General features: G+C 38.4%; 1 protein-coding gene across 11 annotated transcripts in view, besides 2 other annotated features; it reads right to left on the reverse strand.

The window, feature by feature from the left end:
- The window catches only part of PARD3 (par-3 family cell polarity regulator), a 705,736-nt gene that overhangs the window by 405,442 nt on the left and 282,993 nt on the right, over nt 1-17,301 (reverse strand). For all 11 annotated transcript variants that reach the window (NM_001184790.2, NM_001184791.2, NM_001184789.2 and 8 more), the window contains exon 3: nt 1,977-2,157. In NM_001184790.2, the coding sequence (NP_001171719.1) occupies nt 1,977-2,157 (181 nt within the window). The remainder of the gene's footprint in view (nt 1-1,976; nt 2,158-17,301) is intronic.
- Nucleotides 10,998-11,753: an enhancer, noted in NCBI's record as "H3K27ac hESC enhancer chr10:34814928-34815683 (GRCh37/hg19 assembly coordinates)". NCBI's record gives its function as "activates a minimal SCP1, AML or CMV promoter by ChIP-STARR-seq in naive H9 embryonic stem cells {active_cell/tissue: H9 hESC(naive)}" and the evidence as "EXISTENCE:reporter gene assay evidence [ECO:0000049][PMID:30033119]".
- Nucleotides 13,144-13,719: an enhancer, noted in NCBI's record as "OCT4-NANOG-H3K27ac hESC enhancer chr10:34817074-34817649 (GRCh37/hg19 assembly coordinates)". NCBI's record gives its function as "activates a minimal SCP1, AML or CMV promoter by ChIP-STARR-seq in primed H9 embryonic stem cells {active_cell/tissue: H9 hESC(primed)}" and the evidence as "EXISTENCE:reporter gene assay evidence [ECO:0000049][PMID:30033119]".

Here is a 17,301-nt window from a genome sequence, read left to right on the forward strand (position 1 = left end):
TCAAATAAAGACACTATTTTCCAAACTTCTGGTATCTGAATACCTGAACTACTATTTAAATTTTCCATGAGTCAAATTTAGGCAGTCTACATTGTATACACAGGATCATTCCAAGCAGATATCCACTAAGTCGTAGGCTTAATGAACTAATAAAAAATCAACCAGGGTAACTAGTGTACCACCTGCACATCATTTTGTATACGCTGTATGGTACATGCCTCACCTTTTGAAAAACACTGCCCAAAGCAAATCTAATGTAAGAATTTTTAAACAGTATATCCTAGTAGTCAACAAAATTATTTTCACAAAATTAGTTTCTTGCATATGTGCATAAATAAAGCTAAATCTCTTGCATATAAAAAATATTCAACTAAAACAACTTATAGGTTCTGTTCCACCCCAAGTATCCTTGGAAACATCTGTCATTGTATCTGAGTCCGATCTTGTCTGGATGATAGAAAGCAATTGTAGGAAGTGGTTAGCACTGGTCTGTAGCTGCACGCAATCCTCTAGAGCATCACTTACGTATCCCATCTTGAACTACACCTTCTAAATTCTCTACACTCTGTATGGCGCATTGTCCTGTGGGTTCTGATGGGCTAACAGATCTCTAACTGTTAAACTGCTCTTCTTTCCTTGTTCTCTTTATATACACCTTCAAGGGACAAGAGAAGCAGAAGTAGTTTGTAAACATCTAGAAGCAAATTGCCAAATTACTACAGATTGCTATCAATGCAAAAAAAGGGAATTAGGATGCATTTTTAGAAGAATAAATTATATATTCTAAATATTATCTACCTATATTCTGTATCTTAATTATATATATATTTTATTAACACATATTATTACCCATCTGTTTATAAATATCTACTGAAGACTACCAATCAGTAAAGACACGTAAGACCCAAATTTTCTACCTGAAAAAAACTGAAGTGTTTCCAAATAGATGTACCTAAAAAATAAATAATCCTTTTTTTTTTCTCTCACTCTGTTGCCCAGGCTGGAGTGCAGTGGCACAATCTCGGTTCACTGCAACCTCCATCTCCAACCTCCAATCGTTCAAGCAATTCTCCTGTTTCAGCCTCCCAAGTAGCTGGGATTACAGGCAACCGCCACCACGCCTGGCTAATTTTTGTATTTTTAGTAGAGATGGGGTTTCACCATGTCGGCCAGGCTGATCTCAAACTCCTGACCTCAGGTGATCCGCCCACCTCAGCCTCCCAAAGTGCTGGGATTATAGGCATAAGCCACCCCGCCCAGCCAAAAAATCTTTTAACCTTACACATTTATTGAAATTGATCTTCTCTTAACAACTGCTCAATTACAAGATTATACAACTATAAACACTAAATATTTGTAGCAAAAATACCTGACTTTTATGAGTACCTTCCAAGAATGGCTAACAGAACTCTTCAGGCAAGTATCCCAGATCTGGAATACCCAGGGTCCTAGGATTCCTCATATAGGACTCACTATGTCCATATTCCCCTTCCCTAAGGAGGTATTCTAATCACTGCTCTCCCAAATCCCTGAAGATAACTTTGACACGGCGGTCTCTTCTTCCCCAGCTCTTCAGATAAAGTTCAAATAATATAAATGACGGTTGTAACAGAGTTGACTGTAATGAATGATGCTACGTTTTGTTTCAGTGCAAAGCTCTTTGGTCATTTCTACTTGTTCTAGCATTCAGATAAACATATGGAAAGGAAAATCCAAATAATTTAACTTGAACTATTGTCCTTATTTACAGTTAGCGAGTCACGGAAAGTCTACTAGTCGAAAGTAAAGAAAGCCTAATCTATTACAATGTAAAGAACTGCCTACTTCTCTTGCAAAGAACATTTGCCTGGGTCCTAAACTTAATTTTTGAATAAAACAGATAATTAATTCCATTTACAGGGTCATGGATGAATAACAAAAGTTGGTATTCCTGTAAATTAAGATGAAATGGAAGAGAAGAAAGAGCTTTCACTTACTTGCTCGAAGGACTGAAGGTGTGACCTCAATTTCACTTGTTGCTTGGTAAGGCTGAAAGGCTGAGACATTGTTGGTGCCAAGCTCACTACCAAATATCTCTGGGCTCTGGGTACCCGTGGAACTGGCACTGGTGCCATCACCTCCGTGATGTGGATCCTGCTCATCAAACACTGCTACCAGCTAGAAATGAAAGGTAAATGTGCACTTATAAATAAAGGCACTTAATTAACTACCAAAATTTTGTACTATTTTGACATAATTCTACAGTGCAAAAATACTGATATAAATGACCCTAGAATGGTAAGTTTTACGAAGAAAAACCTCAAAGAAACAGTGTTTCCCTAAATTTTGATGCTTTACTTGTATAATTCTAAGTCGTACATTTCACATTCAAAAGTCTATGGGTGAAAAAATAATAAAATTGTTTGCTATCACAGCATGCTAAGTCAGGGACAGATATAAATCTTCTTAAAAATATAGGATATTTAAATGGAAAAGAAAAATGCAAAAGTGTGTATATATATGAGTATACATATATATCTGTGTGTGTGTATACACACATGGTATGAACTACTATTCACATAAAAAGGGGATATTAAAAACTAAACATGTATCTTCTCATTTGTGCATAAGATACATGCTAAAGACAAACCTGTCATACAAATATTCCAGTTAGTAAATTTGTTTCTCTTTAGCAATTCTTACTCTACTACACGCCCCCCACACACACACAAACACACACACACCAAGAATGAACAAAAGAGTGCAAATATGTTTGATAATAAAAGCAGATGTTTTCACAGTCAGAAACAGAAGTTACAGAGAAGAAAAAGCTAGAATAAACTGGTGCTCAGAATGGAATCCAGGACATCAGTATGAGCTCAGTTTTTGTTTGTTTGTTTGTTTTGTTTTGTTTTGAGATGGAGACTCACTGAGACGCCCAGGCTGGAATGCAATGGCACGATTTCGGCTCACTGCAACCTCCACTTCCTGGGTTCAAGTGATTCTCCTGCCTCAGCCTCCCAAGTAGCGGGGATTACAGGCGTATGCCACCACACCCAGATAATTTTTGTATTTTTGGTAGAGACAGGGTTTCATCATATTGGCCAGGCCAGTCTCAAACTTCTGACCTCAACTGTTCTGCCCGCCTCAGCCTCCCAAAGTGCTGGGATTACAGGCGTGAGCCACTGCTCCCGGCCAAACTCACAGTTTTTATAAGTACATAGTTAAGTAAATACACCGACAAATGGGTAAGTATATCAATAAATGTTAATGAATGTGTGAGTATAAAGAGTTCCCAGCTCTGTCCACACAGAGATCCTAGAAACAATGGCATCCCCAGTGCCACTGAGCATGCCTAGTACCCAGATCGTGGTTTCTAATACCATTCTCCAGTTAATGAACAAGGGCTCCTTGAAAAATGGTTGATTTCAGGGCTGTGGTCAGGGAAACACATGGTAAGCCTGGAATGCCTTGTGATGTCAAAAAGGGGTACTCAAAAATGATGAAGGCACATCAAATGGAAGCAGGTGTCAACCTGAAGGGGCTCCCAATGGACAAAGCGGAGACAACTTACAAACTAAAGAAATCATACTGGCATTGGATCATTATCCAAAGAATAAACTAAAATCCATGAGTCCATAATGATATAAATAATTGAACAAATAAATGGTAGAGAATAAACAGCTGTTCCCTGCTGTAGCATTCCAAATAATAAATAGAAGGAATGATGGCAACAGAAATCATCATTAGGCAACCTCCACCATAAAAATCGTTCAGGTAAAATCTACTAATGGATACTAACATTAATGGGTGTGAATATGATAATAACAGGATATTTGCATAGCTCAAAATGTCTCCCCAGAAGAGTCATTTTGACTAAAAAGCAAAACAGTAATATTGTTGAAGTGGAGAAACTTGGCAGCCACTGCTGTACCCAGGTTAACGTCATTCATAGTAAGATGCAGCAATATCAAGTACCATCTGATAAAATGCACTGGGAAGTATATAACATTACTTTTGTGGTATTCTTGCCAAAAATGTATAACGTCCATCTAATCGTGAGGAAACATCAGACAAACCCAAATTGAGGGATATTCTGAAACATAAATAAGGCTCTCCAAAAGTATCAAGGGTCATGAAAGTAAAAGAAAGAACAAGGAGAACGAGGAAATTGTGCAAATTGGAGGAGTCTGAGGAAGAATGAGAACTACATGGAGTGGGAGGATAGAAAAAGGGCATTAGTGAAAAAATAGGCAGAATTCTAATGAGATCTGATTAGTTGACAGTACTGACTCAGTGTGAGTTTCTTTCTTTTGATAATTGTTCTATGATTATGTAAAATGTTAACATTAGGGATAGATGAAGTGTATATGGAAATACTCTGTAACTATTATTCCAAGTTTTCTGAAGTATAAAATTATTTCAAATTAAAAATTTTAAATGTTATAATATTTTTAAAAAGCTATAAAAATAAAAAAGTACTCTATGTCTTCTTATAACTAATACAGTTCTTAAAATGCTAATATACTTCTTATAAATCCCAAAGCGTAGGCCAGGCGCGGTGGCTCACGCCTGTAATCCCAGCACTTTGGGAGGCCTAGGCGGGCGGATCATTTGAGTTCAGGAGTTCAAGACCAGCCTGGCCAACATGATGAAACCCATCTCTACCAAAAACATAAAAAATTAGCCAGGTGTGGTGGCACGCTTCTGTAATCCCAGCTACTCGGGAGACTGAGGCAGGAGAACTGCTTGAACCCAGAAGGCGGAGGGTGCAGTGAGCCAAGATCCTGCCACTGCACTCCAGCCTGGGAAACAGAGCGAGACTCCATCTCAAAATAAATAACATAACATAACATAACATAACATAACATAACATAACATAACATAACATAACATAACATAAAAATAGAAAATAAATCCCAAAGAGTAAAAAACTTCTAAGGATCCACACTGGCTGCCACCTTGGAGCTTCACCCTTCAATCCCACACCTAGCAACTCAGCTTAGCCTTCCAAGAAAAGAACCATGACTGGAACCAAAATAAACCCCTCTCCTGCCTCCAATCCAAGCTTTTTCAAGGCCAACACTTGTCTCAGGTCAAAAACAGAAACGCGAATGTACAGAATATGAGTAGGACTCATAATTACAGTCCTCATTTTATAAATGGCTTTGTCGTTTGGAACAAATGCTATTTCCATGAACATTTATATATCATCAATCCATTTATCATCGACACAACAAAGAAAACCATTGTACAGTCACAAAGAGACAGGAAGCTCAGAAACCTGCTGACGTATAGATAGAATCAGCTGATTAAACAATCTGGAAGAACCAGTACCAGGGTTCATACCATACCACGGTAATTGGTATGAAGAAATCACAGTAGGATGAATAATTGGGCCACTCAACCTTATAATGAACAACATAAATCAGAAAAGAAGTCCTTAATAGTTACAAAAAAAAGGGAAAGGTATGCATACGTATACACCAAAACATCCATATATAGTAAAATCAGTTTATCTGACAGTGACTTGCAAGTGTCTGCCTGTATTAGAGACACAGACATTCCACTAGATTAGGGGTCAATGGGCAAACTTTCTCGAAAAGAATAAGACAGTAAATATTTTTGGAGCTGTGGCCCATACCGTCTCTTTCATAACTACTCTACTCACTAATTATAGTATGAAAGAGCACCCATAGACAATACAAAAACAAATGACTGTGACTACATTTGAATAAAACTTTATTTATAAAATAAACAGGCCAAATTTGGCCCATGGTCCCTAGTTTGACAACCCAGCCCATCTTTCTAGTAACATGCAATTTTAGTTTCAGTTTGAGCAATAAAACTAAAAGTCAAGGTACCTTTGTAGCCTCAAAAAACTAAAATACTCATTTCAAGCTCTGCATGAAGATTTTGGATTGCTATACTTGATTTTAATATCATCATACTTTTCATAAGGTGTGTGGCTTAATATGCATTTTGAAGATATTAAGTTTTGACATTTTGGTGCTTAATTGGAAGCAAATGAAATTCATGTTTTGTTATTAACTTTTCACAATGATGTGTTCTCTCAAGAATCGAGTCCTTTCTGCAAACTGAAAATGGAGATTGAAAATTACAAAGAATAAGTCTTTAAATGCCACATGATGGAAGAGCTTATACATATATATTAGTTTCAATAATTATCTCCAGCATTTTTAGAAAACATTATAGAACCACAGTTGGTGATTTGCAATATGCCAATAACATACAATTGCACAGCTTTCTTTTAAACCAAAATTTAAGTGCCAGGTCCCAATATGAAATAATTTTGTGTTAAACTGGGAAAGATATATAATTTTAGAAAATCTACTCTATAAGAATGCATATAGTAACACAGCAAAAAAAAAAAAAAAAAAAGGTGGGGGGAACCTTCACAAAAAACTGCGTATTAAAAATCTCCATCATGCCCTTCAAAAAGTAAAGGAAAAGTCTTTTAAATTTGTGAAATGTTACTCAAATTCTAATTTAACAGATGGAATCTTCACTGCTGTCCACAAAGTAGATCATTTTGAATGTTCATTTTTTTCCTTGCAATAATTATTAATCTCTCTTCTGTTCCATTCATCTATCAAGTCTCCATGAGAAAAGACAGGCAGAATTTGGATAACACCTACAATAGCCCAAGTAGAAATAAACTCTAAACATTGTCACCCACTTTCCCCTACCTCAGGACAAGTCACTTTAACTATGAAACATCAGAACCCCCCAACAGAAAACCTCTTATAGAAACATCACACAGAAATGCTTATAAAACCCTTGGATCTAGGGAAGTCCCTTTAATAGGTAAAATTAAGACCTGAAAGCCCACAACTGCATGTAGCAAAGTGGCTAACAGCAATGGAGAATCAGAAAAAGCTACATTCAAAGCCAGCTCTGACCTTATTTTTTGGGTAGCTGTTGGTAAATCCAGTGGCCTCTCTAACACCTCCAGACCTTACTCTCCTCATTTGGAAAAGAGGATGGTGGTTGTGGGTAGACAGAATAATGGTCTCCCCAAAGTTATCCATGTCCAAACTCCTGGAACCAGTGAATGTTACCTTCTATGAAAAAGGGACTTTGCAGACAGGATGGAGGTTAAGAACCTTAAAATGGAAAGATTATCCTTCATTATCCAGGTAGAGCCCCATCTAATTACATAAGTCTGGAAAAATGGAGAGCCACGCCTGGCTGCGGCCAGAGAGAAACGTGATGATGGCCAGAGAAATACTACACTGCCCACCTTGAAGACAAACAAAGGGAGTCATGAGCCAAGGAAAGTGAGCAGCATTTAGAAGGCAAGGATATAGATTCTCCCCTAGAGCCTCGAGAAAGGAGCACGGTTAACACACTGATTTTATGGCATTCTGACCCATGTCAGCCTTCTACCAAGCAGAATTGCCAGGTAATGAATTTGCATTGTTTTCAGCCACTTATGCCTGCTCTGCCAGATGTAGGACAAATAAAGAGATAAGGTATACAACTTCCAGAACACAATAAGTATGTTTACTATGAGCTTTTATTAAATTATATTGTGATGGATGATAAATACGTTCTACTTTTGTAAATATGAGAATAGTTTCAAGAGTAAAGAAGACAGATGCAAAGCTCAATCGCTGTGTCTTGGATCTACACAGGAATAGTAATGGGAAAAAGAACACGGAAAGAAGACAGCATGCTAGAAAATGCATGTTCAACATAGATATGGCACAAAATGAAGACCTTCCACAGACGCTCTACATCCTCCTCTAGAGGGCCCCACAGAAACACAAAGTCGTTTTTATTATTTCACTTAACAGGAAGCAAAGCCGAGCCTCAGAGAGATGAATCTGACTAGCATATAAATAAATACAGAATAAATTTGAGATGGGAAATCAAGTCAAAGATCCTATTTTCTCCAAATCTTCCTGCTCTGGAGCATCTAACATATCCACAGCACAGGGCACTGGCAGGCTACAAACTAAGATTATCTGCAGACCTCTGAATAGGATTCTGTTCGTTTTTGATTAATCAAACGTAATAACCTGCCTTTACCAAATTAATGCAATTTTGATGACACCACTTAAAATTTTTCTGAACATATCTGAGGGTAATGAAGATCATCACAGACAATTCATCCTGCTGGTGCCATCACTCAGTCTTAAACAGAGGGCTTAAAAGGATCAAAGAACTTGCAGATTCTACCCTCATACAGGAAAATGAAAGCTGATTTAAGCCAAGTCTAAGTGAAATCTCAAAGACCTCTAGGTTCAAACTCCACACACCCTGAGAAGCCATTTTAATGTGACACCCTGTGAGCAATCTCTCACTTTCCATTGCTTTCTTCATGTATAAGCTAGACATATCCAGGGAAAGTCAATTATGATGGGTGTCATTGGACACTCAATGTCAATATATGCAATTGTTTTCCTATGAAATAAAGACTTATAATTCTTTTAAAAAGGCATCATATTTTGGCCCTGGATAAAGTACAAAACATGTTGGAGAATACTAGAAACAAGAATAAACTTGAAGATGCCTCCATGACCCTCTCTTCATCTAAGAAACATGAGCAGCCTCCATGAGTCAAGCCAGATCCAGCGGCTTAGTCAACAAGAAGCACAACACAGAAAGTGCGTGTTTGAGAGATGACAGGGAGATGTCATGGGCAGATGTGCCTATAAAGAAGAATGTAACAGAAGAGAATAGAAAGAAAATTCAACAGATATGGGAGAACTAGAGCATAATGAAATAAATTTCAAAAACTTAACAATAAAACTAAAGGAGTTGGAGATACATGCATTTTTTAAGTTTGAAGTCAGGCTGTTCCATGATGTATAATTCTAAACTATCACTAATTCAAAAATCACTTTTCGTCTCCATAGTTTATAAATTATAGATTTCTATAATTAGGATCATACCTACCAATACATTTAAATTCTTCTGCCCTTTCACTCAAGGATGTCCAAAAAAATTATAAATTAGATCAAGTATTTGAGTTTCTGAATTCCCCTTTTTCTATCTCTTATTTTTTTTTAAGATTTCATTTACACTTGTCTCCCATAAAGCACACGTGATAACCTGTGGCACTTACATAAAAGAAAAACTAACCAAACACTAACATGCTTTTGTAGATTATCACAGTGTATTATCCAACATAAGAAAGGGAGCTAAATGAGATCAATCTTTAATAAAGCCATTTCCAGCAAAATATCATGCAGGAGAGGGCAGAACATTCCCGCTGCTTCCTGAACAACACAGGAGACCACCATCATCATAAGCTTCTATCTGTCAATTGCCAAAGGGAGACCTGTCCGACAAGAGCTAATGCCATCCTTTAAGAAGAAAGTATTTCTTGAACACTCATGCCTAATAGAGATATTCCACTGCATCTGGAAACCACAGTGAAAGATATTCACCTATGATACTCCCTAGCCCTGATGCTTACATTTCAGAGCTGAAATTTAATTCTGTTGTCCCTCAGGGTGACATAGTCTATCACCCACTGAGCCTTCAGACTAATTAGATTCCCAGTTTAAGACTTATGTTCAACTAATAGCCTTGAGTATGTCAACCACAAACCACAATGAAAATATGCAAATTCGTATAGCCATCAGCTAACTGACCCACCTGCCAAATATAATATAAACCCCTCTTGCTCTACTCTCTATCATGAGTGCCACTGTTACACTGGTATCCACCCATGAGGTTACAACTACATAACACTACTGCTTAAGTATTAATAAAAAGTAGGATAGCACAGTAAGACAGAACAAAATAATTCAGAAATGGGCTAATCACATACAGATAGGTTGACTCCAAACTGGAGGAAGTGGCACGAGTTGTGATTTTATCATGAACACATGCAGTGTTCCCTCAAAGAGAACATGGTAAGACTGGCAAATGGGCAAGATGAATAATCTCAGAAGCAAATGCGATGATGTAGTAACTAATTATTACGTAGACACAACAAAAAGGGAACTAAAAATCAATTTGTAAGCTTTCTGATGACTGAATTTACTTTAATGACACAGAGACAATACTAAATCCTTAATCATTCTCTGAGCCTTACTTGCTAGCATGGTTCATTAAAAACTCATTTAAATAGAGCTAGTGTTTAACTGGACGAGTAAGCAAAAGGATATATTTGAACCAATGATGTTTTGTAATCATAGTAATACAAACTATACCAATAAAAACTCGCTACAGAACAAGAATCTTAAGCTTGCCACTGGAAAACTTTAAATGTTATGCATGTGAGATTAATTCCACGCTTCATCAGCATATTAAGAAGGGTATATACTGTCTGATAAAAAAGACCTAAAACTTAGAAAAGAACACTAAAATACCATGAGCACATTAAAGACTAGCGAATGTTCCTACTGGCTAAGCCAAGAATGGCAAAGTGTGGATAGACTTTCTCGTACACAGTACCAGGAAACTTGACCTCAAACCCGTCTCAGGCTCTAGCCCCATGGTTTGTGATATTAGAGCAGTACCTCACCTATGGGTATATGTTCCAGCCTTGCCACTCTGCCAACCTTCCAACATATCTAAGAGGGAGTAACGTGGAAACAGGGGTCAACAGCATAGTGTTCTAATCTGTGAACAATTTAGCTTGACAATTCATATGTTTACGTGTATCCAGAAATGCCTGCATTAACAAATGATAAATAAGAGAATCCCTCAATAGTAACTCTTTAAATTAACAACACAGTCTGCAGTAGGGATTTTGCTTAAAAGAAAAAAAAAAGATTTTTTTTTTCTAAGAGGCGTGAGCCTCTGTGCCCGGCCAAAATATTTTTATTAATCAAAAGTCCACCAGGCATGGTGGGTCATGCCTGTAATTCCAGCACTTTGGGAGGTAGAGGTAGGTAGATCATGAGGTCAAGAGATGGAGACCATCCTGGCCAACATGGTGAAACCTCGTCTCTACTAAAAATACAAAAATTAGCTGGGCGTGGTGGCACACACCTGCAGTCTCAGCTACTCGGGAGGCTGAGGCAAGGGGAATCGCTTGAACGTGGGAGATGGAGGTTGCGGTGAGCCAAGATCGCACCACTGCACTTCAGCCTGGTGGCAGAGAGAGACTCCGTATCAAAAAAAAAAAAAAAAAAAAAAAAAATCCAACACCATGTAGGAAATAGATAGGTCTTAACGAGATAAACCAAAATCTCTCTTTCTCTCATACACAGACACACACACAGCCTCTCTAAACTGTAATTAAAAGACAACCACCACCAAAACCCACAGCACCAATCACAATGTTAAACGTTAGTGAGCAAGCAACTGGGGGTGAAATACTTTCCATCTTCTTCCTAATCTCCACTAAACACCACTCCCTTCACTCCCAGGCATAAGTCACATCCTGAAATCTCCCCCAGTCCCTACGCTGTAATAGTCCCAGGGCATGAAAAGCTGCCAATGTGAATGCACAACCCAGAAACATAGCAGGACAGTCACGACCAGGCAGGAGCATGCCCTGCTCTCCTGCTCCTCTGAATGTCTGCATCCACTGGTGAGTCCACAAAAACAGAGCTGAGATCCTTAGTGGGAAGGCCCTTCCTTTCTAGTCTTTCAGAGCTGAGATCTTTAGTTAGGAAGGCCCTTTCTTTCTAGTCTTTTTACCTCTTCAGCTAGCTGGATATAGTAAACCAGGGCTTGGTTCCACGGGTGGGGAGCCCTTGTCTCCATACCCACACACCACCCTCAAACCCTCCTCCTGCTGTGCCACCAGCAAGTTACGAATGTTTAGATGCAGGGAAAGTAGGAGTCCCACTTAAGCTACAACTGCCTCCTCCTACCAACTTGTACCGTTGAGCTCCCTGCTACAGTTCATATCCAGTGTCGTCAGAAACAAGGGTAATTCCGTCTCTACCATCAAGTAATACCATCTCACAGAACCGAGACATTCCCTCGTTGGGCTTCCTTAACGCATCACTCATTCCATTGTTGAACTTGTAAAAAATGACTCATCACTAAAATGTCTTGCCATCTGGTAAACTCTATACTTTATTTTTTGGCAATCAGTAGTGGAAAACTTTTCATTCTAAAATAGAAACTTGAAGGATCACTTCCTTAGTCCTAAATTTTGCAAATTATATTTAAAATGAGAAGCACTAGAAAAGAAAACTTGGCTGTGGCTTTGGCCAATCAATCAGAACTGGGAAGCAGTTAAGCAATTTGCACAAAGTCATGGAAAACTTCTCCACACAATGTTAGGTCTAGAGATGATGCAGCAGGGGTCAGCACATCACCAGCCCTGGCATTTAAAGACAAGATGGTATTTCCAACTCTAAGAACTAGCCTTGTTTCCAAGGCAACCTGCCCTTTGTATAGGGGACTCACTTGGGAGTTCATAATCCCTTTACCTGCTGACTTCACAATTTGAACAAGAACCTCAGCAATGACTTAGCTTCCATCTAAAAGCATCACAAGAAAAACTGAGGGCCGTTTAACTACTTTAAAGGAAGAAAGGAATTCAGATGATTCTATTAAGACATGGGCTGGAGTGGGGAGGGTAGATAGAGAAGAAAAAAGTGATTCAGAAAAAAAGAAGAAAGTAGAACTAGGAGTTGCTGCTTAACAGTGATTTATTTTCAAATTAAGATATATCAAACCCACCACTTCTGTTCACTTCAAGTTCTGAATGAAAGTCCAGGTGAAAATGACACACAATGAAAACCTCAAATTCATTCTGACAACCACAAACCAATATTAGCAAAAGATCAAAGTTCAATAAATTTATTTTGTAAAATGTAAGGTTAATATTACAGTACAAAATGACTTTCAGTTTAATTTGCATGCAAGAAGGAAGGGTGTGATTTTTAAATACCCACCCAGGGGCAAAGATGAAAAACTTCATTTTCTGACTCCTTTTTTGCTACTCTCATTATTTCAACACCTTCTACAAAGGAGAGATAACGGTGTCCTTGACATTAGCCTAAATTATCTTCAGTATGCAATACAATACTGATTAAATTAGGCTCATTTTAATCAACTGGCAGGTTTATTCAAAAAGTAACTAAATAATAAAATTCTTTTTATCAACTCTTCATTAGTATAACCTGTTTAGCAATGTTTTTAAAAAACTGAACACAGAATAAATATTGTGTGCCCATCTTTTCACTCCCATATTTGACAGGTAAAAGAAATAACTTGCAAGTTAAATATTTCCCCCAATCCACAAATTGCTTTAATACTGAAATTTAATGCCAATCTTCTGGAAGGTAAATACTAGTGCCATCTAATGGACTTAGTCAAGCACAAAGAGTTTAAAAATTTTAAGTTTTAAAGAAAATCTATTCTAAGGAAAGCCAAACCCTCTACTTGCCTTCATTTGCTTCCCAAGACAACGTCCACACAAGTGACCCAGAATAATGGAGATGGAGACACTTTATCCTGCGGTTTGCCAGGAATTCCACTCATTCTACCACCACAAGGTTGCTAATCATGAATGAGCTCTCAAGATGAGTCAGCCTCAAACAACTCACCAGCTGCGTGGCCCTAGGTAACTTCTTCACTCCTCTGGGCTCAGTAGTGATAGGTTTTGTTTTGTTTTGTTTTGTTTTGTTTTTTCCCCATAAATTTCATTTGATTATGACAAATTGCTTAGGATGTTTCCTGTAAGTAGCAAGTTTTTAAGAAATGTTACTAATATTTGAGAAAGTTTCAAGAGACTGAGGTAATCAAGAGGGGAAGATGAAAGACAACTAAGTTAAGCCATATAGACTTTATCCTGAAAACTGCGGGGTGTCATTAACACACAGCAGTTTAACTTGCATTTATTCTGCACGAGGTTTCAAGGGGTATGGAGAAGGACTAGGAGGGTAAACACTCGTAGCTCATTAGTCTAATAATGAAGAAGTCATGAGGGCCAAGGCTAATGGAAAGGTGGTGAAAAGACAATCAGGATGTATAATTATTCAAATGCAGAATGGAGACTTATTTAAAAGGACTTGGTATGTGGTGGATGGGTGCCATTATGAAGGAAAATGACAGATTTTAGGTGTCTAGGTTTGTCATTTGGGTGGTTGGGCAGAGGACAGGCACAAGGACAAACAAAAACAAAAGATGATGCATTCAGTTACAGGGAAAACTATCACATGCTCTCAGCCAGTTCCTGGGACACAACTGGAGATGGGAGTCCATGGTACAAAAAAGAGTTCGAGGCTAACTACTTGTAATTGGGTGCCGTCCACACTTAGGTACAATTGAAGCCACAGGTTTCATCCAATCTGAATGCGGATCACCCATGGAAATCAGAACTCAAACCTGGGTAACTGCTGAGATTGCAGGTTCCTCTTCCCTTCCTCCAAACCACTTTCAAAGGATTTTGAGAACTGACTAAAGAATATAAATAAAATCAAGGAAACAGGGTTTCACAAAACTAGGGAAAGAAAAGTAGCATGGAATAGCTGGATCAGCAGTACTCAACACCACAAGGAGGCCCATGAGCTCTTTCTCTAACAAGGACACATGTGCATTATCACCCCAGTGCTATTAAACAGGTGACCCTAGAACAATGCAGGGATGCAAACCCCCCACACAGTCGAAATCTGAGTATAACTTTTGACTCACCAAAAACTTAACTACCAAAGCCTACTGTTGACTGGAAGCCTAGCCACTATCATGAAACAGTTAACACCTATTTTGTGTGTTATATGTATTCCACACTGAATTCTTATAATAAAGTAAACCTAGAGAAATGAAAATATTATTAAGAAAATCATAAGGCAAAGAATATATTTTTTACTTTACTTTTTTTTTTGAGATGGAGTCTTGTTCTGTCACCCAGGCTGGAGTGCAGTGGTGCAATCTTGGCTCACTGCAACCTCCACCTCCCAGGTTCAAGCCAATTCCCCTGCCTCAGCCTCCTGTGAAGCTGGGATTACAGGTGTGCACCACCAAGCCCGGCTAATTTTTGTATTTTTAGTAGAGACGGAGTTTCACAGTGTTGACCAGGCTGGTCTCAAACTCCTGACCTCAAGTGATCCTCCTGCCTCAGCCTCCCAAAGTGCTGGGATTATAGGCCTAAGCCACCATGCCTGGCAGAAAATATATTTAATAATCATTAAGTGGAAGTGGACCATCATAAAGGTCTTCATCGTCATCATCTTCATGAGGAAGAAGAGGAGGGGTTGGTCTTGCTGTCTCAGGGGTGGCAGAGGCAGAAGAAGTGGAGAAGGTGGAAAGGGAGGCAGGAGAGACAGGCACCACTGTGTCACTTTACAGAAATACATCACAATGTCTGACTTTTTCTGTTTTTTTTCTCTAAAAATATTTCCATACAATACCAACCCTTCTTCCACTGTTCGATTTAATTACAGTACACATATCACAGAAGGGTCCATATTATAAAAGAAGTCAAAAATAGTCTTGAATAATCAGAACCCTTCTGTCAGATGGTGTAATTTTGGTTTTCTGGCACTGCTTCGTCTCTGTCTTCTTCCTCATGATCAGGCACTGGTTCGGAAATACTCATCTCCATCAAGTTATTTTCTATTAATTCCTAAGCTGTGGTATCTATGAGCTCCTGAATTTCTCTGAGACTGATATCTTGAAGTCCTTCATCCCCCACTTTTTTGGCCATATCCACAATCTCTTTAATGATTTCCTTAACTGGCTTTGTTGTCAATTTTGTGAAGTCATTCACAATATCTGGACCCAGTTGTCTCCAGCAAGAATTTGTTATTTGGGATTTACTGGCTTTCACGATATTTCTATCACAAGGAAGGCACCTTCATTGGTAATTCTTCCAGACTTTCATAATAATGTTCTATCAGTGGTCCCTTCCATAGTAACGACCATCCTTTCCAAAGGGTACTGTGTGTAATGAGCCTTACAGGTCTAAATTAGAGCCATTGTGTTTGAGGCAACTAGACTACTTCAACGCCTTGAACTCCTGGGGCTCTGGGTAGCCAGGGGCGTTGGTCAATATCAAAAGAACTTTAAAAGGCGACAGTCCCTTACTGGCAAGGTACTTCCTGTCTTCAGGGACAAAGTATCAATAGAACAATCTGGAAAAGTGTTCCCAGTGTCCAGGCCTTTATGTTGTGCAATCAAAAGATTGGCAGCTGGTGTTTATCTTTTCCTTTCAAGGCTCAGGGGTTAGCAGCTTTGTAGATGAGGGCAGTCCTGACTGCCTCTGCTCAATACAATTGAGTTAGCCTATCTCTTCTGGACTTAAATCCTAGTGCTTGATCCTTTTCCTTACTAATAAATATCTTTTGCTGGCATTTTTTCCAGCACTTTCGTCTGCATTAAAACCGTGTTTAGGCAGACACTCTTTCTCCTCAATGATTGTGCATCTGGAAACTCGTCTGCTGCCTCTTGGTTGGCAGAAGTTATTAATACTTCTGTTAGCTGAACATTTTTTTAAGCCAAGCCTCTTTAAAAAATTATCAAACCATCCTTTGCTGGCATTAAATTCTCCAGCTTTAAATCCTTCAGCTTCTTGTTGCTTTAACTTGCCATGTAATGACATTACTTTTTCTCAAATCATATTAGTCAATAGGTGCTTTTCCTTTAACCATCCTGCATCCACATAAAAGCCGCATTTTCAATATGAGATGAAAAGGTATTTCACAAAAGTACAAGGTTTTTGTGCCTGCTGGCATACCTGCAGCAACGGCTTCAGGAATTTCCTTTCTTGTTTTTTATAATGGTCCCTACACTGGATTCATTTATCTTGACATGGTGGGCAACTGCAGTAGCTGCAGACTTCAATCTATGGTACATATCAACTCTTTGTTCTAATGTCATGACTTTTCTCTCCTTTTTTGGGAGCATTTCCAGCATCACTAGTGGCACTTCACATGGGTCCCTTGGCGTTATTCAAGGTTTACAGTTTCATATTAAACATGATGAAAAATGCATGAGAACCAAGAGCAATTACTTTTTATTGTGATATGCAATTTCCTGGGAAGACAAATTGCTCACAAGGAGATGATGAGCATCACACTGCACTTTAAGCAGACACGCACAACACTCGAGCTCACTGCAAGTAACAACAGGAGGGGGCTATGATATTACTATAGTAGTGCAGTCTGTGCTACAGTTAATTTTATGCAGTTGCGATTTAATATTGCATCTTTATGGTTACTTACATTTCTCTCAACTGTGAATGGCACCACGTATGCTCTGTGTATATGGACGTTTTGATAAATTTTAACTTCTTGTAACAGATTTTTGTATATTTTATGGTTGTAAATGACAGGGTATCTATATATATATTTTACACATTCATGACATATATTTTTAAATTTTTTTCCTTATCTCGCTACATAGTTCATCTAAAATTTTTAACATGCCAAATCTCCA

The sequence above is a fragment of the Homo sapiens genome, chromosome 10, assembly GCF_000001405.40.
Source record: "Homo sapiens chromosome 10, GRCh38.p14 Primary Assembly".
Taxonomy (NCBI): Eukaryota; Metazoa; Chordata; class Mammalia; order Primates; family Hominidae; genus Homo; species Homo sapiens.